General features: G+C 45.3%; 1 protein-coding gene across 1 annotated transcript in view; it reads right to left on the bottom strand.

Annotated features, from left to right (window-relative positions):
* Nucleotides 1-23,951, bottom strand: part of HDAC1 (histone deacetylase 1) — a 41,544-nt gene that overhangs the window by 13,614 nt on the left and 3,979 nt on the right. The window contains exons 2-3 of the mRNA NM_004964.3: nucleotides 17,280-17,392; nucleotides 3,231-3,348 (exon numbers count right to left, since the gene is read on the bottom strand). Of these exons, the coding sequence (NP_004955.2) occupies nucleotides 3,231-3,348; nucleotides 17,280-17,392 (231 nt within the window). The remainder of the gene's footprint in view (nucleotides 1-3,230; nucleotides 3,349-17,279; nucleotides 17,393-23,951) is intronic.

Below are 23,951 nucleotides of genomic sequence, written 5' to 3'. Positions count from 1 at the left end.
GATGTACTGACCTCGTGATCCGCCCACCTCGGCCTCCCAAAGTGCTGGGATTACAGGCATGAGCCACCACGCCTGGCCATGTGTGTTTTTTTTTTATTGAGACGAGTTCTTGCTATGTTGCCCAGGCTGGAGTGTGGTGGCGAAATGAGACCATACCTCAATGCAGCCCTGAACTGGGCTCAAGGGATCCTCCTGCCTCAGGCTCCTGAGTAGCCAGAATCACAGGCATGTGCCACCATACACAACTAATTTTTTATTTTTATTTTTTTAAGATAAAATAAGAGATGGGGGTCTCACTATGCTGCCCAGGCTGGTCTTGAACTCCTGGCCTCAAGCTATCCCTCCTGCCTTGCCCTTCAAAGCACTGGCATTACAGGTGCATGCTACCATGTCCAGCGCCTAGGTTAGATATTGGTACATATTCTAAAAGGGCAAGTTAAGGATTAAGGAATTTGAGGCTGCAGTGAGCTATGATCTTGCCACTGTACTGTACCCTGGATGACAAAGCAAGACCCCATCTCTAAAAACAAGAATAAAAATAAAAATAATTCTTTTTTTAAAAAGGGCTCATTACTGTCTTGGTAGATACCCCAGGTTATAAAGCACTGTGTTAAGTGACATCTAAAGTCTCTGTCTACTCTGACCCTCCATAACCCTACAAATCAACTCAGTGAGGTACTCTGAAGTTCTTAGAGAGGCTTATTCTTCCTGCCCCCATTTCTGATGACAGAAAAATCCAAGACCTAATTATTTTAATTAGAAAAATTTTTTTTAGAGACCAGGTCTCACTATATTACCCAGACTGGCCTTGAACTCCTGGGCTCAAGAAATCTTCCTGCTTCAGCCTCCTAAGTAGCTGAGACTATAGGCACCCAGACTGAATTTTTTTTTTTTGAGACGGAGTCTCGCTCTGTCGCCCAGGCTGGAGTGCAGTGGCGCGATCTTGGCTCACTGCAACCTCTGCCTCCTGGGTTCAAGCAATTCTCCTGCCTCAGCCTCCTGAGTAGCTGGAATTACAGGCATGTACCACCAAACCAAGCTAATTTTTGTATTTTTAGTAGAGATGGGGTTTCACTATGTTGGCCAGGCTGGTCTCAAACTCCCGACCCCAGGTGATCTGCTTGCCTCAGCCTCCCAAACTGCTGGGATTACAGGCGTAAGCCACCACACCCAGCCAGACTGAATTTTTTAATGTACAACTTTAGAATGCTGGATTCGGAAAAATTGGCGCACCAGAGCAGAACCTGCACACTCCTCAGGGCATAGCATTTTGTCTGCCTTGATAAGTTTGTAAATAATAAAAATAGTAAGTCATAATAGCAAAAGTGATTATGCAATAGCAAAAATAGCAAAAGCAATTCATTGAGGGTAGACATATTATATATATTTAAATATATTATCTTCACTTATTCCCCCATCCTTGACTATGAAATAGGCACTAATGTCTTTTTTTTTTTGGTCTCGCTCTGTTGCCCAGGCTGGAGTGCAGTAGTACAATCATGGCTCACTGCAGCCTCGACCTTCCAGGCTCAAAAGATCCTCCCTCCTCAACCTCCTGAGTAGCTGGGACCACAGGTGTGCACCGCCATGCCCAGCTAATTTTTTTATTTTTTTGTAGAGATGAGGGTCTCACTATGTTGCCCAGGCTGGTCTCAAACTCCTGGCTGGGCTCAAGCAATCCTCCCACCTTGGGCTCCCAAAGTGCTAGGATTACAGGCATGAACCGCTGTGCCTGTCCTGTCTTCCTCTTAAAGAGGGAAAACAGGTCGGGCACAGTGGCTCAGGCCTATAATCCCAGCACTTGGGGAAGCCGAGGCTGGCATATCACCTGAGGTCGGGAGTTTGAGACCAGCCTGACTAACATGGAGAAACCTAAAAATACAAAATTAGCCGGGCGTGGTGGCACATCCCTGTAATCCCAGCTACTCAGGAGGCTGAGGCAGGATAATCGCTTGAAGCCGGGAGACGGAGGTTGTGGTGAGTAGAGATCGCCCCATTGCACTCCAGCCTGGGCAACAAGAGCGAAACTCTGTCTCAAAAAAAAGTGGCAGGGGCGGGAAATAACACCAGAGGGGCTAGGAAACCAAGGATTCAAACTAAGACATGAAAGCTTATTTTCTTACTTTAATAGCAAGTTGCTCCTCTAGTGAGAGCCCACTGTGCTGAGAGTAGAGCCTGATCCTTGGCCTAAATGGGTTATGGAAACCTCTAAAGCCATCTACAGGAAAGGCATGAATTTGCCTCATCTTGGAGGGAAATAAGACCCTGCAATTCAGAGAGCAAACACCTCACTCACAGCAGCTGGCAGCTCCTGGAGTTGTCGGTAGCAAAGAAGCTTAATGCTTCAAGGAAGGTCTCTGTGGTTCTGCCATCAATACCACTGTACAGTTATTATTAGTTGTAATAATAGTTATAAATAACTTTCTTCCTTGGGAGTAAGACTACCTTGTGGTCAGCAGCAACAAACAAGTGCCGCATATTTTCTGACACTTCCATATAAGCTGTCATAAGTTAATCAAAACTTCTTCTGGACAGTGCTGTTATACTATATGAAGTCTTAGGTGCTAAGAGATAATTTCTAAAATAACACAAGGGGGAAGTCAGGTATGATAGTTTTGTCCCAAATTTGAATACTTTTTTTTTCCCCCTCACAGCTAAAATAATTCCCACGATTCCTACAAACTAAGCGTGGCTTCCAAGATGGGACCTGCTCTGAAGTTCAAGTCCAAGGGATCAGGGGCAGCATCACCTCATCTCAAAGATTACACCATCTAGAATCTGTCCTGAGTGGCCTCTAAATTCTCAATTAATACCCACTAAGTCAAAACAGTTACAGTTGGACAGAAATCAGAGATCATGTGGCCCAGCCCACTTTACAAAAGAAGAATCTGAGGGGAAGTGACTTGCCCACTCAGCTGAGAGTTAGAGTTAAATTTTACTGTATCTATTGTCTCCCCGTCCCAGGTCAGTGCTTTTTCCACTACAATAATTACAGTACTCTTGGGACAGTGTTGTGAACATAACCAGAAAAAGTACTACCTCTATCGTTTACAAATCAGGAAACATGAAAAATCCGACTTGAGGGGAAAAAGCACTCTGGCACCTTTAGGAGGTAGGGGAAATCAGGTGTCCACTGAATGGGAGGTGCGAGGACGGCAGAATGGGCCTCTACAGTGGAAAGGGAGATGCAACTGGCGGCTTCAGAGTGTGAGGGAACAGAATGGACTTACATCTCTGCATCTGCTTGCTGTACTCCGACATGTTATCTGGACGGATGGAGCGCAAGAATTTAATGTAGTCATCGCTGTGGTACTTGGTCATCTCCTCAGCATTGGCTTTGTGAGGGCGCTAGAGGGCAGAAGGGAGAAAGGGCAAGTTATTTTTGACCACGGCCAGTCCAGTCAATCTAGTTTGAATATTTATATTTCCTGCGCAGCATGGAGCTAGGTGCTATAAAGAATAAAAAGAAATAACTGGTTAGATTCAGGCTTCAAGAAATTTACAATCTAACTAGGCAAACAAGATTATCAAAGGAGACAGAGTATCAGAAGACCTACAGCAGCTCAAGCTCTGTTGCTTAGGCAAGTTACTGTCTCTTGAACCTCCATTTCCTCATTTACTAAACAGGGACAACATAGACCACACAGGGAAGTTGAGAGAATTGGAAGAGGTTGTTAAATCTCTTTGTAAACTGTAAGGTGCTTTACAAAATTATTACTTTTTTTTTTTGAGACGGAGTCTCGCTCTGTCTCCCAGGCTAGAGTGCAGTGGCGCAATCTCGGCTCACTGCAAGCTCCGCCTCCCGGCTTCACGCCATTCTCCTGCCTCAGCCTTCCAAGTAGCTGGGACTACAGACGCCCACCACCACGCCCGGCTAATTTTTTTTGTATTTTTAGTAGAGACAGGGTTTCACCGTGTTAGCTAGGATGGTCTTGATCTCCTGACCTCGTGATCCGCCCGCCTCGGCCTTCCAAAGTGCTGAGATTACAGGCATGAGCCACCAAGCCCGACCTTTTTTTTCGTTTTTTTTTGTTTGTTTGTTTGTTTTGAGGCGGAGTCTCACTCTGTCACCCAGGCTGGAGTGCAATGGCATGATCTCGACTCACTGCAACCTTCGCCTCCTGGGTTCAAGCGATTCTCCTGCCTCAGCCTCCCGAGTAGTTGGGATTACAGGCGCCCACCACGACGCTGGCTAATTTTTGTATTTTTAGTAGAGATGGGGTTTTACCATGTTGGTCAGGATGGTCTCGAACTCCTGACCTCAGGTGATCCGCCCTCCTCGGCCTCCCAAAGTGCTGGATTACAGGCATGAGCCACTGCGCCCGGCCTACAAAATTATTACTTATTATTATATAAAACTGGCCGAGTGCAGTGGCTCACGCCTGTAATCCCAGCACTTTGGGAGGCTGAGGCGGGTGGATCACCTGAGGTTAGAAGTTCGAGACCATCCTGACCAATATGATGAAATCTGGTCTCTACTAAAAATACAAAAATTAGCTGGACGTGGTGGCATGCACCTGTAATCCCAACTACTCAGGAGGCTGAGACAGGAGAATCGCTTGAACCTGGGAGGTGGAGGTTGCAGTGAGCTGAGATTGTGCCACTGCACTCCATCCTGGGCAACAAGAGTGAAACTTCCTCTCAAAAAAATAAATTAAAAAAAATATATATGTATATATACGTATTATAAAATTATGGACAAAATGGCTCCAAGAGTTCACGAAAAAAGGGTATCTAATGAAAACTGAAACAGATGGGAAATCCTTTATAAGTCATCACATCAACAATTTTGATCACATCCTCCCCACTAACACTTCCTTGACAAGCTAATTTCCTGGTTATCCCAACATTCTGACTCCTCCTTCCCTTTTTAAAATTATTTCCTTTTCCTCCCATCCCTTAAAGGTAGGTCTTCTTCAAACATGACCCTCTGCCTCTCTAATTACCAATACAACAAAAGTCCTCACTTAATGTCATCCACAGGTTCTTGGAAATTGTGACTATAGGCAAAACAATGTATAAAGAAACCAATTTTACCATAGGCTAATTGATATAAACAAGAACTTAAGCTCCTACAGCATATTTCTGTCACAAAAACATCACTAAAATTCTAAATAAAGACCCAAAACACTTCAAACATCAAATACTGAAATAAATGTGAAATATCCCTTTTTTTTTTTTTTTTTTGAGACGGAGTCTCGCTCTGTCGCCCAGGCTGGAGTGCAGTGGCGCGATCTCGGCTCACTGCAAGCTCTGTCTCCCAGGTTCACACCATTCTCCTGCCTCAGCCTCCCAAGTAGCTGGGACTACAGGCGCCCGCCATCACACCTGGCTAATTTTTTGTACATTTAGTAGAGATGGGGTTTCACCATGTTAGCCAGGATGGTCTCGATCTCCTGACCTCGTGATCCACCCGCCTCGGCCTCCCAAAGTGCTGGGATTACAGGCATGAGCCACCTTGCCCGGCGAAATATCTCTATATTTAAGAAATATTTATAAAAATAAGGAAGATCATTATTGGGCTGGGTGCAGTGGCTCATGCCTAAAATCCCAGTACTTCGGGAGGCTGAGGCAGGTGGATCACTTGAACCCAGGAGTTTGAGACCAGCCTGGGCAACGTGGTGAAACCCTGTCTCTACAAAAATATAAAAAATTAGCTGGCTGTGGTGGCACTTGCCTATAGTCCTAACTACTCAAGAGGCTAAGGTGGGAGGATCACCTGAGCCCAGGGAAGTCCAGGCTGCAGTGAGCTGTGATCTTGCCACTGCACTACAGTCTGGGCAACAGAGCAAGACCCCGTCTCAAAAAATATATACATTATTATTTACCCAATTTTTGGTGAATCAGTGAGTGATGGCGGTTGTTGTGGTGGTGGGTTAAATCAAATAATAAATGTATGCAAAGTTAAAATTGCAAGGAGAACCTTCTACCATCATGCAGTTCAAAAACGAACAATAACAAATATGGCAGGCTCGCTGAGTGTTTCTGTATCACATCTTTTATTGTTGTGCATCTGTATGATTATTGTCTACTTTATGAATTTTTACTTGACAATAATTTGAATTCAATCATTCATTTCCAAGGGTGGCCAGAGCCTGTCCCGCAGCTCAACACAAGGAACCAACCTTGGACAGGACGCCATTCCATCACAGGGTGCACTCACACCCATATCCACACTTGCTCAGACTAGGACCATGGAAACATGCCAACTCACCTCACATGCACATCTTTGGGATGTGGGAGAAAAATGGAGTACCCGGAGAAAACCTACACAGACATGGGGAGAATATGCAAACACCATACAGATAGTGGCCATGCCAGGAATCAGTTATTTTTCTCCTCAACGTTATAACTAAATGATGCTGAGCGAAGTGATGTTATTTGAGAACCTGCCATATTTTCTGCAGTTTATAAAGCATTTTCAATACACAGCCAACATTTATTGTTTCCTCTGTGACAGTCACTCTTTCAGGCACTTTAAACGCTATCTCATATGATTCTTACAACAACCTTTTAAAGATCTAAGCCCTGGAGGATCGCTTGAGCCTAGGACTTCAAGGCTAGCCTGGACAACATAGTGAGACCCTGTCTTTTTCTCTTTTTTAAAATAATTATCGGGGCCAGGCGCAGTGGCTCACACCTGTAATCCCAGCACTTTGGGAGGCCGAGGTGGGTGGCTCACCTGAGGCCAGGAGTTCAAGACCACCCTGGCCAACACAGCGAAACCCCATCTCCAATAAAAATACAAAAATTAGCCGGGCGTCATGGCAGGTGCCTGGAATCCCAGCTACTCAGGAGGCTGAGGCAGGAGAATTGCTTGAACTCGGAGGCAGAGGCTGCATTGAGCTGAGATCATGCCACTGCGTTCCAGCCTGGGCAACAAAGCGAGACTCCATCTCAAATAAATAAATAAATAAATAAATAAATAAAATAAAATAAGTTATTGGGCAATCTCTCCAGGCCAGAATGTGTTCAGATTCCTAAGACCCCATCTCTGAAAAACAAAACAAAACAAAAAAACACCTTTTAAAGTTCATGGCCAGGTGCGGTGGCTCACGCCTATAATCCCAGCATTTTGGGAGGCCGAGGTGGGAGGATTGCTTGAGGCCAGGAGTTTCAAACCAGTCTGGCCAACATGGCGAAATCCCATCTCTGCAAAAAATACAAAAATTAGCTGGGCGTGGTGGCAGGCTCCTGTAATCCCAGCTACTCAGGAGGCTGCAGCATGAGAATCACTTGAACTTAGGAGGCAGAGGTTGCAGTGAGCCCAGATTGTGCCACTGCACTCCAGCCTGGGCGACAGAGCGAGACTCTGTCTCAAAAAACAAGCAAACAAACAAAAAAAAGTTCATAGCCAGGCACAGTGGCTCACGCCTGTAATCCCAGCACTTTGAGAGGCTGAGCGGGGCAGATCACTTGAAGTCAGGAGTTCGAGACCAGTCTGGCTAACATGGTAAAACCCCATCTCTACTAAAAATATAAAAAATTAGCTGAGTGTGGTGGCGGGCGCCTGTAAACCCAGCTACTCGGGAGGCTGAGGCAAAGCATCGCTTAAATCCAGGAGGCAGAGGTTGCAGTGAGCTTAGGTCATGCCACTGCACTCCAGCCTGGGCAACAGAGTGAAACTACATCACAAAGAAAAAATAAAAATAAAAAATTCATACTATTATTATCCTTATTTCACAGGGAGGAAACTATAGAAGAGAGAGGTTAAGTAATTTGCCTGGGGTTACACAGCTGGTAAACTGGAAGGAATCCAGAGATCTGGCTCTGGGTACTTTGACTCTCTCATTTAATCCTCACTTAATTTAATGAGGCATAATAAGACTGAACGACAGATACTGTTTTATCAAAAACAGCCATAGTGAAGCCAGATGCAGTGGCATGCACCGTAGTCCCAGCTGCTCAGGAATCTAAGATGTAAGGATCACTTGAGCCCAGGAGTTCAAGGCCAGCCTGGGCAAACACAGTGAGACCCTGTTTCTAAAAAGGCAAACCAAAACACCCACAGTGAAAGAAAAAAGACTTAGCTCCAAATACCAAGTTGTTTTTTTACTATACTAAGCCCTTTACTCTCTTCCTAATGTCATCAAAACTTTGGTCTGGCTATCCCTTCTACACAGATGACTGCACAAACTCCATTTTGATCTTAGTTCTGAGCTCCAGATTCACAGTTCAAATAGCTTCTCAGTCTGCTCCACCCACAAACCCTAAAGGCACTTCAAATTCAACTGGACTCAACAATTTGTTGTTGAGAGCCTAGAAGCACTCAAATTCCACTTAACTTCCAAAAGTTCTCTTTCATTATTTTTGTTAATGATACCAACATCCACTCAGGCTGAAAACCTAAGTGTCATTTTAAACTCTGTCCTTTTTTGCCTTCCTGTTTCAATCCATTGCCAATCTCTCTCATTATGCCTCCATAATATTGATTGCATCTACTACCCTATTTTTCCTATGTCCTTCTTTCCCGGGTTTCCTATTCTCAGCACCAACCACCTAGTTGTTCAAGATCGAAGCCAGGGTATCATCTTTGTTTTTTTTTCGAGACAGAGTCTCACTCTGTCACCCAGGCTGGAGTGTAATGGCACGATCTCGGCTCATTGCAACTTCTGCTGCCCAAGTTCAGCGATTCTCCCGTCTCAGACTCCTGAGTAGCTGGGATTACAGGCACCCGCGACCACGCCCGGCTAATTTTTGTATTTTTAGTAGAGATAGGGTTTCACCATGTTGGCCAGGCTAGTCTCAAACTCCTGACCTCAGGTGATCTGCTGGCCTTGGCTTCCCAAAGCGCCAGGGTTACAGGCATGAGCCACCACACCACACCAGGCAAGAATCATCTTTGATTCTTCTTTTTTCATCCGCTACATTCAACTTCTCTTGAAACTACCACCAATGTATTATCTGTCAAATCTGTCCACTTCCATCCTGGGCTACCACTTTTTTTGACTTGGATTCTGGCAACAATCTCCTAACTGGTATACTAGCCTCCTTCTTAACCATTGTTAATTTATGCTGAATACTACAGGCAGAGTTTTCTGTCTCTCTTTCTTTTTTTTTCTTTTCTCTCTTCTTTCCTTCCTTTCTTCCTTCCTTCTTTGTCTTTCTCTCTCTCCCTCCCTCTCCCTGTTTCTTTCTGTCTCTCTATTTTTTTTTTCTTTTTTTCACCGACTTTCACTCTTGTCACCCAGCTGCAGTGCAATGGCACAATCTTGGCTCACTGCAACCTCCGCCTCCCAGATTCAAGCAATTCTCTTGCCCCAGCCTCCCGAGTAGCTGGGATTACAGGCTCCCACCACCACTCCCGGCTAATTTTTGTATTTTTAGTAGAGATGGGGTTTCACCATGTTGGCCAGGCTGGTCTCAAACTGCTGACCTCAGGTGATCCATCCGCCTCAGCCTCCCAAAGTGCTGGGACTACAAGCGTGAGCCACTGCGCCCGGCCTGTCTTTTTCTTTTTTATTTAGAGACAGAATCTCCCTGTGTTGCCCAGGCTGGTCTCGAACTCCTGGGCTCAAGTGATCTTCTTGCCTTAGCCTTGCTAGTAGCTGGGATTACAAGCGTGTGTCACTGTGCCTGTTATAGAGTTATCAGTCTTAAAATGCAAACTGAATCATGTCACTCCCCTCTAAAAACACTTCAAAGGCATCATTACTCAAAATATCAAGTTCAAACTCTTTAACCTGGCTTGGAAAACCAGAATAATCTGATCCCTGCTCACCCCCTTACACTCACCTAAATATTTTGTGCTGTATGCCAGGGAACACCAAACTCAAATCACTCATAAGCGCCAGTCAGTTTAGCTAGCTTAAAACAAACATAAACAAAACACTGGTGAGCAGAGGACAATCTTTATTTACATAGCTCTAGCTGATGGCTGCCATGAGGGAATTTGGGCCCAACTGCCAGATCCTTTCTGGACAATTTCATTTTTTAAAGGTTGGCCACTAACCTAATGCCCTTAAAATACTTTGAGTTAAATAAAACATGTTTGAGAGACTGAATTGATCTCATTCACTGTGCCAATCTGCCAAGCACCATTTTGCTTGCACTTCCCCAAGGGCCATCTCTCTCACATTTAGGCCTTTATACATGCTATGACCTACAACACTGTTCTCTTCACACCCTCTACTCAACCTTTAGGTTGCAAATGAAAAGTCAACCCAGGCACACACTTGTAGTCTCAACTACTTGGGAGGCTGAGGCAGGAGAATCACTTGAGCACAGACAGGAGTTTGAGGCTATAGTGCATTATAATCTCACCTAGGAATAGCCACTGCATTCCATCCTGGGCAACAGAGCAAGGCTTGTTTTTTTTTTTTTTTTTTTTTTGAGACTCGCTCTGTTGCCCAGGCTGGAGTACAGTGGCACGACCTCAGCTCACTGCAATCTCCGCCACCCAGGTTCAAGCGATTTTCCTGCCTCAGCCTCCTGAGTAGTCGGGATTACAGGCATCCACCACCATGCCCAGCTAATTTTTGTATTTTTAGTAGAGAGAGGGTTTCACCATGTTGGCCAGGTTTGTCTTGAACTCCTGATCTCAGGTGATCCGCCTGCCTCGGCCTCCCAAAGTGCTGGGATTGCAGGCGTGAGCCACGGCACCCAGCCAAGGCTGTCTCTTAAAAAAGAGAGAGAGAGAGAAAGAGAAGAAAAGCCAATTCCCCCAAAAAGCTGTCCTTGACCTCTCAGAATCTCAGTTAAGTAACTCTCTGAAATGCTACCCTGAGAAGCCTGTACTTCCCTTATCATTACACTCACCAAACTGCATATAAATTGCATGTTTGCTTGGTCTACTCTGGGAGGCCAGGAGCAGGTTCTACCTTTATTTGAAGCAACAAGCATGGTGCCTGACATATAGCACCTGCTCAATGAATAACTGTTGACCTAACAAATGAACTCTTGGCTGGGCGTGGTGGCTCATGCCTATAATCCTAACGCTTTGGGAGGCTAAGGGGGGCAGACTGCTTGGGCCCAGCACTTTGAGACCAGCTTGGGCAACAAGGTGAAACCCCATCTCTATAAAAAATACAAAAATTAGCCAGGTATAGTAGCACACAGTGTAGTTCCAGCTACTCAGGAAGCTGAGGTGGGAGGATCACTTGAGCCCAGGAGGGTGAGGCTGCAGTGAGATGTGATCACATCACTGCACTCCAGCCTGGATGACAGAGCAACACCCTATCTAAAAAAATAAAACGGGCCAGGCGCCGTGGCTCACGCCTGTAATCCCAGCACTTTGGGAGGCTGAGGCAGGCAGATCACGAGGTCAGGAGATCGAGACCATCCTGACTAACACGGGGAAACCCCGTCTCTACTAAAAATACAAAAAATTAGCCAGGCGTGGTGGCAGGTGCCTGTAGTCCCAGCTACTCGGGAGGCTGAGGCAGGAGAATGGCATGAACCCAAGAGGTGGAGCTTGCAGTGGGCCGAGATTGCGCCACTGCACTCCAGCCTGGGTGACAGATCAAGACTCCGTCCCAGAAAATAAATAAATAAAAATTAAAAAAACAAAACAAAACAAAACCCATACACAAATTAAATCTCACTTGGAGTATTTTTGGCCTCCTAATTGGTCCTATTTCTATCCAGCCTTATCATCTTCCATCTTCCATATTGGTATCACAAAAATCTTAAAACGTTAAAGTACTGCTCTCATTCAATGACACCCTGTTGACGAAGTAAATATTCTTTTTTTTGAGACGGAGTTTCACTCTTGTTGCCCAGGCTGGAGTGCAATGGCACGATCTCGGCTCACTGCAACCTCTGCCTCCCAGGTTCAAGCTATTCTTCTGCCTCAGCCTCCCTAGTAGCTGGGATTACAGGCATGTGCCACCATGCCCAGCTAATTTTGTATTTTTAGTAGAGATGGGGTTTCTCCATGTTGGTCAGGCTGGTCTCAAACTCCCGACCTCAGGTGATCCGCCCACCTTGGCCTCCCAAAGTGCTGGGATTACAGGCGTGAGCCACTGCGCCCGGCCCGAAGTAAAGACTCTAAGCTCTTTGATATAGCAATCAAGAAACTTTACAAGGTTCCTTTCCCAATTTAATTGCCCCTGCTCTCTTTCACAAATATTATACTCCAAACAACTCTTCCTTAAGATCTAGAGAGGTATAGAGCTTTTCAACAGTGTCCGTGCTCATGTTCTTCCTATTATTTGAAATTCATCCCTTATCCCAAATCTCTGAAGGAAAGGGCTCATCTCAAATGCCACCTCTTTTACAAAGTAAAAGCAAATCACCTTCTAACAATCCATCTTCATCCCAGGACTCAAAGTTCCAAAGAATACAGCAGTGCCCTCTTATCCTCAGTTTTGGTTTCTACAGTTCCAGTTACACACAATCACTGTCCAAAAATATTACATGAAAAATGCCAGAAACAAGCAATTCATAAGTTTCAAATTGTGAACCATTTGTTATGAAATTTTGTAACATCCAGCTCTGTCCCCTGGGTGTGAATCATCCCTTTATCTGGCATATCCACACTGTATACTACCCACCTGTGAGTCACTTAGTAGCCCTCTCAGTAATCAGATCGATTATCAAGGTATCACACTGTTTGTATTCAAGAAGCCCTTGTTTTACTTAATAATGGCCCCAAAGTCCACGAGTAGTGATGCTGGCAATTTTGATATGCCAAAGAGAAGCTGTGCTGTGCTTCCTTTACATGAAAAGGTTGAAGTTCTCAATATAAGGAAAGAAAAAAATCCTGTGCTGAAGTCGCTAAGAGCTAAGATCTACAGTAGGAATGAATCTTCTTTTTTTTTATTTTTGGGAAGGAGTTTCACTCTTGTTGCCCACGCTAGAGTGCAATGGTGAGATCTCAGCTCACTGCAACCTCTGCCTCCCAGGTTCAAATGATTCTCCTGTCTCAGCCTCCTGAGTAGCTGGGACTACAGGTATGCACCACCACGTCTGGCTAATTTTGTATTTTTAGTAGAGATGGGGTTTCACCATGTTAATCAAGGTGGTCTCGAACTCCTGACCTCAGATGATCCACCGGCTTTGGCCTCCCAAAGTGCTGGGATTACAGACATGAGCCACCACGCCCGGCCAGGAATGAATCTTCTATGCATGAAACTGTAAACGGCTTATTGCTATAATTGTCCTAGTTTATTATTGTTAATTTCTTACTGTACCTAATTTATAAATTAAGCTTTATCAGAGGTATGTATGTATTAGAAAAAATATAACATATATAGGATACAGTACTATCCATGGTTTCAGGAATCTACTGGGCATACTAGAAAGTATCCCCCCTCAGATAAGAGTGGCCTACTGCATTATCCCACAGTCAAAAATCACAAAATACACAGGAAACACAGTCCAGGATCCTACAGAAACAACAACAAACAACAGAATCAGATCTACATAGACCTTGGTGAATTAGTGAAATGTATATCAAAATCGTAATTAAATTAAAAAGAAGTGCTACTCAGGAGGCTGAGGAGGGAGGATTACTTGAGTCCAGGAGCTTGAGGCTGCAATGAGCTATGACTGTGCCACTGCACTCTAGCCCAGGCAACAGAGTAAAACCCTGTCTCTAAAAGAGAGAAAAAGAGGCCGGGCGCCATGGCTCACACATGTAATCCCAGGACTTTGCGAGGCCAAGGCGGGCGGATCACCTGAGGTTGGGAGTTCGAGACCAGCCTGACCAACGTGGAGAAACCCCATCTCTACCAAAAATACAAAATTAGCTGGCCGTGGTGGCGCATGCCTGTAATCCCAGCTACTAGGGAGGCGGAGATTGCAGTGAGCCAAGATCGCGCCATTGCACTCCAGCCTGGGCAACAAGAGCAAAACTCTGTCTCAAAAAAAAAAAAAAAGAAAAAGAAAAAGAAAAAAAAGTGAAAGGGCAAATAGCCAAATCACTTTTTCAGAAGAACAAAGTGGGAGGACTGTGCTACCAGATAACAAGACTTACTATAATATAAAGCTACTGTAATTAAGCCACTGTGGTATTGGCATATGGGTCAATAAACAGACCAAGTCAACCGAACAGAGAGCCCAAAACCAGACACACACATATTGCCTGGCACAAAGTAGGTGCTTGATGAGTATATATGCAATGAATGAATAAAAATGGACATTTAATATATAAAAGAAATGGGTCAGGCACTGTGGCTCACGCCTGTAATCTCAGCACTTAGGGAGGCCAAGGTGGACAGATCACTTGAGCCTAGGAGTTTCAGACCAGCCTGGTTAACACAGCAAAACCCCATCTCTACAAAAATATAAAAATTAGCCGAGTGTGGTGACATGCACCTGTGGTCCCAGCTACTCAGGAGGCTGAGGTAGAAAGATGGCTTGAGCCTGGGAGGCAGAGGTTGCAGTGAGCCGAGATCGCACCAGTGCACTGCAGCCTGAGTGCCAGAGTGAGACATTGTCTCAGGGAAAAAAAAAAAAAAAAAAGACAACCAATGGGAAAATGGGCAAAAAGGTTGAATAGGAATTTCAGTAGGGGAATATAAATTAAAATAATAGTAAGATAACATTTCATGTCTACCTAAATTAGCAACAAAATTGAAATCTGACAAAATCAAGTGTTGGCAAGGACTCAGAGCAACTGCAATTCTCCTACATAGCTGGCAATTGGAAACCATTTTGGCTTTATCTAACACAGGTGAATATGTGCATATGTCCTGACCCAATTCTAATCCTAGTATATCCTTTAGTGAAACTTTAGCATATATGCATCAAGAGACATGTTCAAGAAAGTTCATAGCAGCAGTATTTGCAATAGTCAAACCCCAGAAGCAAATCAAATGCTCATCAAAGAGATAACAGACTAGAATACATTTATTTCAATGAAATACAGTAAAAATAAATACAGCTACAGGTATCAACATGGGTGAGTCTCAAGAACATGTTTAGCAAAAAAAGTCAGTCACATAATAAATACTGTATGGCTCCATCTATATAACAATCAAACATGTAAAACTAAAACATACTGTGCTTGGAACTGCAGGTAAAAAATAAAAATCATTTTTATAATTTTTAAAAAAGAATACAGGCATGGTGGCTGATGCTTATAATCTCAGCACTTTGGGAGACCAAAGTAAGAAGATCTCTTGAGGCCAGGGGTTTGACACCAGCCTGGACAAAACAGCAAGACCCTGTTTCTACAAAAAAATTTTTCTGAATTAGCCAAGAGAGGCTGGGTATGGTGGCTCATGCCTGTAATCCCAGCACTTTGGGAGGCCGAGGCAGGCGGATTGCTTTGAGCTCAGGAATTTAAGACCAGCCTGGGCAAAATGGTGAAACCCCATTTCTACCAAAAAATTAGCCAGGCGTGGTGGCTTACACCTTTAATCCCAGCTACTTGGCAGGCTGAGGCTGGAGAATCACTTGAGCCCAGAAAGCAGAGGTTGCAGTGAGCCAAGATTGCACCACTGCACTCTAGTCTGGGTGACAGAGTGAGACCCTGTCTCAAAAAAAAGAAAAAAATAAAATAAAGCCAGGCATGGTGGTGCCTGCCTGTAGTCCTAGCTACTTGGGAGGTTGATGTGGGAAGATAACTTGAGCCCAGGAGTTCAAGGCTGTAGTGAGCTATGATCACACCACTGCACTCCAGCCTGCAGGGAGCAGAGCTCTCGGGAGCAGAGATAGTCTGCTCCCTAGAGTACCTAAAAATATCTTCTGCCTTTTCTGTTTTTCATTCCCAGCTGCCTTCACACCTAAAAAAGCTCCGTAGTCCCAAGGTCTGTCTTCTCCTCTACTTTCCTTCCTTGCTTCCCCAGTTGCCTCCACTGGCTCCAGAGACATGACAAGGCCATCTAGGAAAGAACACTCATCTCCTTTCAGTCTCTGGAATGGTGACAAAAATACCACTGTTGGTAGTTTACTCAAGCTGTAGAAACAGACTTTAACCACAGATTCTTATGTAGTAAGGCAACATCACCTCCAGCCCCTCTTTATTTTCTCATTTGGACTCTTGTAACAGCCACTTACCTAGCCTCCCTGCTTCTAAAATGCATGCCCGTTCCTATCTCTCTTTCATTTAAAACCCTTCACTTGTTCCTCCTCACTGTCTCCAGAGAGGTTAAAACTGGGAACCATTGGACCTATTTGGTCTACAGATGTACTAATGTGTTTGGTTTGTATACATGCTTAAAATAAAAACCAAAAAGCAAAAACTCTGGGTTAACTTTTTTTTTGAGACAAAATCTCATTCTGTCATCTAGGCTGGAGTGCAGTGGTGCAATCACAGCTCACCGCAGCCTTGACCTCCCAGGCTCAAGTGGTCCTCCCACCTCAGCCTCCCAGATAGCTGGGACTACAGGTGCAGGCCAGGATACCAGCTAATTTTTTTCATATTTTTTGTACAGACAAGGTTTCTTGGGATAACATTTTAAACCTAGGAGATTTTACATAATAATCTGGATTTCCAGCTTCTCTTTAAAAACTCAAAGATCAGTGACAAATCACCTGTAGCTGAATCTACAGGTTAGACCGTCTATACTCTCTAATAACTAGAGATTTGGCATCTGCTTCAACATGGTCCCAATCACTCTTATTTAGGCATTAAATTTTTGGTTTTTTTGTTTTGTTTTGTTTTTTTGAGACAGGGTCTCACTCTGTCGCTCAGGCTGGAGCACAGTGGTGCAATCACGGCTCACTGTAACCTCTGCTTCCCAGACTCAAAATGATCCTCCTAGCTTAGGCTCCTAAGTAGCCGGGACTACAGGCATGTGCCACCATGCCTGGCTAATTTTTTGTAGAGATGAGGTCTTGCCATGTTGACCCGGATGGTCTCGAACTCCTGGGCTCAAGCAATCTGCCCATCTCAGCCTCCCAAAGTGCTAGGATGACAGGCATGAGCCACCGCACCTGGCTTTGTTTTTTTAAGACAGAGTCTTGCTCTGCCCCCCAAGCTGGAATGCAGTGGCACAATCATAGCTCACTACAGCCTCGACCTCCCAGGCTCTAGCAGTCTTCCCACCTTAGCCTCCCAAGTATCTGGGACCACAGGCACATGCCACCATGGCCAGCTAATTTTTAAATTTTGTTGTAGAGACAGGGTCTCCCTATGTTGCCCAGGCTGGCCTAGAACTCCTAGGCTCAAGTGATCCTCTTGCCTTCACCTCCTGAAGTGCTGTGATTACAGGCGTGAGCCACCATGCCCAGCCAAAAATCTTTATCATTTACAGTACCTGCCTTGTAACAGCAGTCAACATGCATTTGATGAATGAGTGAATGAGTGGTGGAGAAAATGAGATAATGAATGGCATATGGGGAACCAGAGCAGATGAGGTTAGGGAGCGGTAGCACCTCTGGTAACTCACATAGATTTCCATTTTTCGGTAGAGACCATAGTTGAGCAGCAAATTATGAGTCATGCGGATTCGGTGAGGCTTCATTGGGTGGCCTTGTCCATAATAGTAATTTCCAACATCCCCTGAAGAAGAGAGAGTGACAGCTTCACTAACACAGTTAGGCATACACTACCAGGAGAACCCAGGAATTTTTACAGCGAACTCCCAGTCAAATTCTTTCTGGCTCATTTCTAGTTTCCAAGATTCTCTCCCACCTTTTGAAGGGTAACTCCAAAAGAAAAAAAAAAAAAAAAGCAGGGACCCTGGTGAGGTGAACATTTAAGGTTCAGTCTAGCTCACTTTCTTCTGGAACCCACAGGCACTACATAGCAAGAGGGGTTCATTCCAAAGCTACTGGGGAACAACAGCCAGTGAAATGATTCACCTCACTATACCTCCAAGGAATTCCCTCCCACAACAGAAAAATAACCATCGCTACTCAGAATTATTAGAAGCCACAATTCACCTCCTACATATTGTAACACTTATGGTGTCAAAGCACATTCACTTCGTTTTCTTACTGGATCCTCACAGTAACATGGGTAGGACAGGGGGTATTATTATTCTCACCTTACAGATAAGAAAACTAAAACTTATCACATGCTTAATCTATAACACTAGCCTTCTAATTGGTCCCTCTACCTTCAATTCACACTACCTGCCACACTGTCACCAGAGTTATTTTCCTAATCCACAATTCTGATAACATCACTCCTTCGCTCAAAAAATCCTTATGGCTCCCCATCCCCTACAGGATAAAGAGTAAAGAATAACTTTAATAGAGATAGGCATGGTGGCATGAGCCTGTAATCCCAGTTACTCTGGAGGCTGAGGCAGGAAAATCACTTGAGCCCAGGAGTTCAAGACCAGGCTGGGTCTCAACATTTAATAATAATAACTTCAGAAGACTGGCATTCAAGGACTTTCTTTTTTTTGAGACAAGTCTCGATCTGTTGCCCAAGCTGGAGTGCAGTGGTGCAATCTCAGCTCACTGCAACCTTCGCCTCCTGGGTTCAAACAATTCTCCTGCCTCAGCCTCTCAAGTAGCTGGCATCACAGGCATGTGCTACCATGCCTGGCTAATTTTTGTATTTTTAGTAGAGAAGGGGTTTCACCTTGTTGGTCAGGCTGGTCTCAAACTCCTAACCTCAGTTGATCCACTCACCTCGGCCTCCCAAAGTGCCGGGATTACAGGTGTGAGCCACCGCGCCTGGCCAGCATTCAAGGACTTTCTTTTACTTTATTTATTTATTTTTTTGAGACAGAGTCTCGCTGTGTTGCCCAGGCTGGAGTGCAGTGGCGCGATCTCAGCTCACTGCAAGCTCCGCCTCCAGGGTTCACGCCATTCTCCTGCCTCAGCCTCCCGAGTAGCTGGGACTACAGGCGCCTGCCACCATGCCCAGCTAATTTTTTGTATTTTTAGTACAGACGGGGTTTCATTGTGTTAGCCAGGATGGTCTTGATCTCCTGACCTTGTGATCTGCCCGCCTCGGCCTCCCAAAGTGCTGGGATTACAGGCATGAGCCACCGCGCCCGGCCAAGGACTTTCTTAATCTGCCTTTCCAGCTTCATCCAAGGACTTTCTTAACCTGCCTTTCCAGCTTCATCTCCTGCTACCACCCTTTCCCACAACACACACACACTCACTCTCTCTCTCTCTTTGCTCTAGACTGGAGTAGGCAAACTATGGCCCTTGGGACAAATACAACTAGTTGCCTGTTTTGGTAAATAAAATTTTATTGGAACACAGCCATGCCCATCCGTTTACAGTTCCTCTATGGCTGTTTTCACACTACAGTGGCAGAGCTGAGCAGTTTAGTTGCCACAGACACCCAAGCATATGGCAAAATAAAGCCTAAAATATTTACTATCTGGCCCTATATAGAAAAAGTTTGCCAACCTGTGCTCCAGACACACCAGATTATGATCAGTATCCTGAACATGACATTCACCTTCACACCACAGTATCCTCTGTGCAGACTATTCCTTTGACCTGAAATGTCCTCCTTTCTTTGATGATGCTCATACTACAAAGCCCACCTCAAGCTCCAAACCCTTTCTTGATCAAAATAAATGGTCTTTTCCTCTACATGCAATTTGTATACAGCACTTCATTAGTTTTCTTTTCTTTTTTTTTTTATTTCTTGAGACGGAGTCTCACTCTGTCGCCTAGGCTGGAGTGCAATGGTACTATCTCGGCGGCTCAGTGCAACCTCTGCCTCCCAGGTTCAAGCAGTTCTCCTGCCTCAGCCTCCTAAATTGCTGGGATTACAGGTGCGTGCCACCAAATCCAGCTAATTTTCATATTTAGTAGAGGTGGGGTTTCACTATGTTGGCCTGGCTGGTCTGGAACTCCTCACCTCAAGTGATATGCCCACCTCAGCCTCCCAAAGTGCTAGGATTGTTTTATATCTGAATTATTTACATGACTATATCCACAAGACTGGGTACCCCTTGAAGGCAAGGATTAATATGCCTTGTATATCACAGAGGCTCAATAAAGATTCAATGAATTGAATTGAGACTCAGAGAAGTTAAGTGCCTGCTCAAGATCACACAGCTAATGACTGATCTGGAGTCCACTCTTCGGACTCCAAATCCAATATGCTAAAAGCTACATTGGATTTTCCTTTTTTCTTTTTTTTTGAGACAGAGTCTCGCTCTGTCGCCCAGGCTGGAGTGCAGTGGTGCGATCTCGGCTCACTGCAAGCTCCGCCTCCAGGGTTCACGCCATTCTCCTGCCTCAGCCTCCCAAGCAGCTGGGACTACAGATGCCTGCCATCAAGCCCGGCTAATTTTTTTTGTACTTTTAGTAAAGACGGGGTTTCACCGTGTTAACCAGGATGGTCTTGATCTCCTGACCTCGTGATCCGTCCACCTCGGCCTCCCAAAGTGCTGGGATTACAGGTGTGAGCCACCGTGCCAGGCCCTACATTGGGCTTCTCAGGTACCTACTTCAGTTTGCACTTAATCTAGAGGGCTCTATAAGTCTACCTGATAGAAAATTCCTTGAACAATGTTGCAAAATCAAGTGAACTACACACCCAAAGATCTCTCCTTAGAGATTTATTAGGATGAGGCAGAGCTCTAGGCACCCAGTGAAAAAAAGGCATGAGCCTTGATCCCTAGCAACTCCCTTGCCTATCAAGCCTAGATCCAGCCAAGGCTCAGACCTGGGGGACTAAGATATCTTATCCAGAAGGTTAAGGGAGTATCTGAGGTGAGGGTAGTGAGGGTGGGGCTCTGAGACAGCATCCTTTTCTTTTTATGTTTTTTTTTGTTTGATGTTTTTGTTTGTTTGTTTGTAGAGATGGCATCTTGCTTTGTTGCCCAGGCTGGTTTCAAACTCCTGATCAGCCTTCTAAAGTGCTGGGATTACAGATGTGAGCCTCCAACAGTGCAGGCCAACCATCCTTTTCTTAACAGTTTTTAATTAGTTTGCCAACCCGTGCTGTGTGTATTCCTATACACATTGACAAATGCTATGACAGGGGAGCACACAGCATGAGGGACACTGTCCACTTCCTTAGAATTCCACCCTGGATCCTCTTCTATATAACTTCTTGGGTGACTGCATCCTTTATGATTAAATTTACTGTAATTAAAATAAAGATATATCTCTATATCTTAATCAGGTTGCTGAGAGACTTTAAAAGAAATGGTCCTTTTTATTTAGGTACTACTTAATTTTAATTTTTATTTTTGGAGACAGAGTCTCACTCTGTCACCCAGGCTGGAGTGCAGTGGTGCGATCTCAGGCTCACTGCAACCTCTGCCTCCCAGGTTCAAACAATTCTCCTGCCTCAGCCTCCTGAGTAGCTGGGATTACAGACATGTGCCACCACGCCTGGCTAAGTTTTGTATTTTTAGTAGAGTCAGGGTTTCACCATGTTGCCCAGGCTTGTCTTGAACTCCTGACCTCAAGTGATCCGCCCACCTCGGCCTCTCAAAGTGCTGGGATTACAGACGTGAGCCATGGCGCCAGCCATACTTTAAACTCTTAAAGAGCTTTCCCATCATTGTTCTCATAATAGGAACTCCTATCATTTTGATTTTATAGGAGAGAAATCTGAAATGTAAGGTGACTTGCCTGATATTACAAAGCTTCTCAATGGCAGAGCCAAATCTGAATCCCAAAGTAATGACCTCACTGCAAAACTCAGTTTCTCAAGTAAGAAGTCTATTCCCGGCTGGGCCTAGTGGCTCACGCCTGTAATCCCAGCACTTTGGGCCGAGGCGGGTGGATCATGAGGTAAGGAGATCAAGAACATCCTGGCTAACACGGTGAAACCCGTCTCTACTAAAAATACAAAAAATGGCCGGGCGCGGTGCCTGACGCCTGTAATCCCAACACTTTGGGAGGCCGAGGCAGGCGATCATCTGAGGTCGAGAGTTCAAGACCAGCCTGACCAACATGGAGAAACCCCGTCTCTACTAAAAATACAAAATTAGCCGGGCGTGGTGGCATATGCCTGTAATCCCAGCTACTCAGGAAGGCTGAGGCAGGAGAATCGCTTAAACCTGGGAGGCGGAGGTTGCAGTGAGTTGAGATTGCGCCACTGCGCTCCAGCCTGGGCAACAAGAGCAAAACTTGGTCTCAAAAAAAAAAAAAAAAGGCCGGGCGCGCTGGCTCACGCCTGTAATCCCACCACTTTGGGAGGCCGAGGCGGGCGAATCACAAGGTCAGGAGATGGAGACCATCCTGGCTAACACGGTGAAACCCCGTCTCTACTAAAAATACAAAAAATTGGCCAGGTGTGGTGGTAGGCGCCTGTAGTACCAGTTACTCGGGAGGCTGAGGCAGGAGAATGGCGTGAACCTGGGAGGTGGAGGTTGCAGTGAGCCGAGATCGCGCCACTGCGCTCCAGCCTGGGTGAAAGAGCAAGACTCCATCTCAAAAAAAAAAAAAAAAAAAAAAAAAAAAAATTAGCCAGGCGTAGTGTCATGCGCCTCCAGTCCCAGCTCCTCGGGAGGCTGAGGCAGGAGAATGGCATGAACCCTGGAGGCAGAGCTTGCAGTGAGCCGAGATGGCGCCACTGCACTCCAGCCTGGGCGACAGAGCAAGACTCCGTCCCCCCCGCAAAAAAAGAAGTCTATTCCCTTATCTAAAGACTGAGGTCTTTGTACTTTTTCTTTTTCTTTTTTTGAGGCAGGGTCTTGCTTTGTCACTCAAGCTGAGTGCAGTGGTGCCATTATGGGTCACTGCAGGCTCCACCTGGGCTCAAACCATCCACCTGCCTCAGTCTCCCACCTCAACCTCCCAAGTAGCTGCGATTACAGGCAAGTGCCACCACACCCAGCTTATTTTTTTGTGTTGTTTTGTAGAGCTGGGGGAGGTCTCATTTTGTTGCCCAGGCTGGTCTTGAACGCCTGGTCTCAAGTGATCCTTCCGCCTTGGCCTCCCAAACTACTGGGATTACAGGCGTGAACCACCATGCCCAGCCCATTTTTTTCTTCTTTTAAACTGACAATGTTATCATAAAATGTTATCATAAAACTGTGCAAAATGATATGACTACAAAAATCACAGGTTCCAGCCTCAAAATGATTCTTATCACTGCCAGCAATCCTTCCAAATTTCTTTCCCTAGCCCCCCACTTTTGCAAAAGCTATTTAAATCTCCTCTCTTCAAGATTCCTGCTCCACCAACTGCCCTACCCCACCCTCAGGAAAAGGAATATTCTCTTTCCTGATCTTGAGAACTCCCTCAACTTTCTCCTTATCTTCTCCTCTTCAAACTTACCTCCATTTGAACTTTTCCTTGACATTTACCCTCGCATCACAAAGGAATTTGTTGAAGGTTAGTGTCTCTAGCTGGGCTCCGGTTTCCATCTCCCCTGGTCTCCTCAGGAAGCTCCATCACTACTAGTCCCTTTCCTGTATCTTCAGCCTCTCCCTCTCTTCTGGCTATTTTCCATAAGAATTATTTCAATATGCTCAACTTTTAGCCACTACATCTCCATCTCCCTTATCAACAATCCTCTCTCCCTACCTCACACAAGCTTCCCTTTAAAAGGGTTCAACCAGCTGGGCATGATGGCTCACGCCTGTAAACCCAGCACTTTGGGAGGCTGAGGCGGGTAGATGACTTGAGCTCAGGAGTTTGAGACCAGCCTGGGCAACATGGCGAAATCCTGTCTCTAAACAAAAGACAACCGTTTGTCTTCTAAACAAAAAATACAAAAAGGGTGCACACCTGTGGTTCCAGCTACTTGGAAGGCTGAGGTGGGAGGACTGCTTGAGCCTGGGAGGCAGAGGTGGTAGTGAGCCAGGATCATGCCACTGCACTCCAGCCTGAGTGACAGAGTGAGGCCCTGTCTCCAAAAAAAGGGTTCAACCTGATGTCTCCTCTTCAGTTAGCCATCCATGTACTGCAATCTACCACAATCTAGCTTCTGCCCCAGTTGCCGCCAACACTTGCCCAATCCCTCCCTTCTTTAGCTTCTGCAACCCAGTACTTTCTGGTTCACCTACCTCTCCGGCCCCTCACTCTCTATCATTATACATTTAATCAACAAATATTTATTGAGAACCTACCATGAGCTAGGCATTGTTTTTGGTGCTGGGGATACAGAGGTAGACAAGGCACGGCCCCTTTCCCTAAAGAGCCTCCTCTCTACAAGAAATATGACCAAGTAAATG

The sequence above is a fragment of the Homo sapiens genome, chromosome 1 (genome assembly GCF_000001405.40).
Source record: "Homo sapiens chromosome 1, GRCh38.p14 Primary Assembly".
In the NCBI taxonomy this organism is placed as follows: Eukaryota; Metazoa; Chordata; class Mammalia; order Primates; family Hominidae; genus Homo; species Homo sapiens.
Note: the sequence above shows the minus strand (reverse complement) of the source record. Positions and strands in the feature narration are given on the sequence as shown.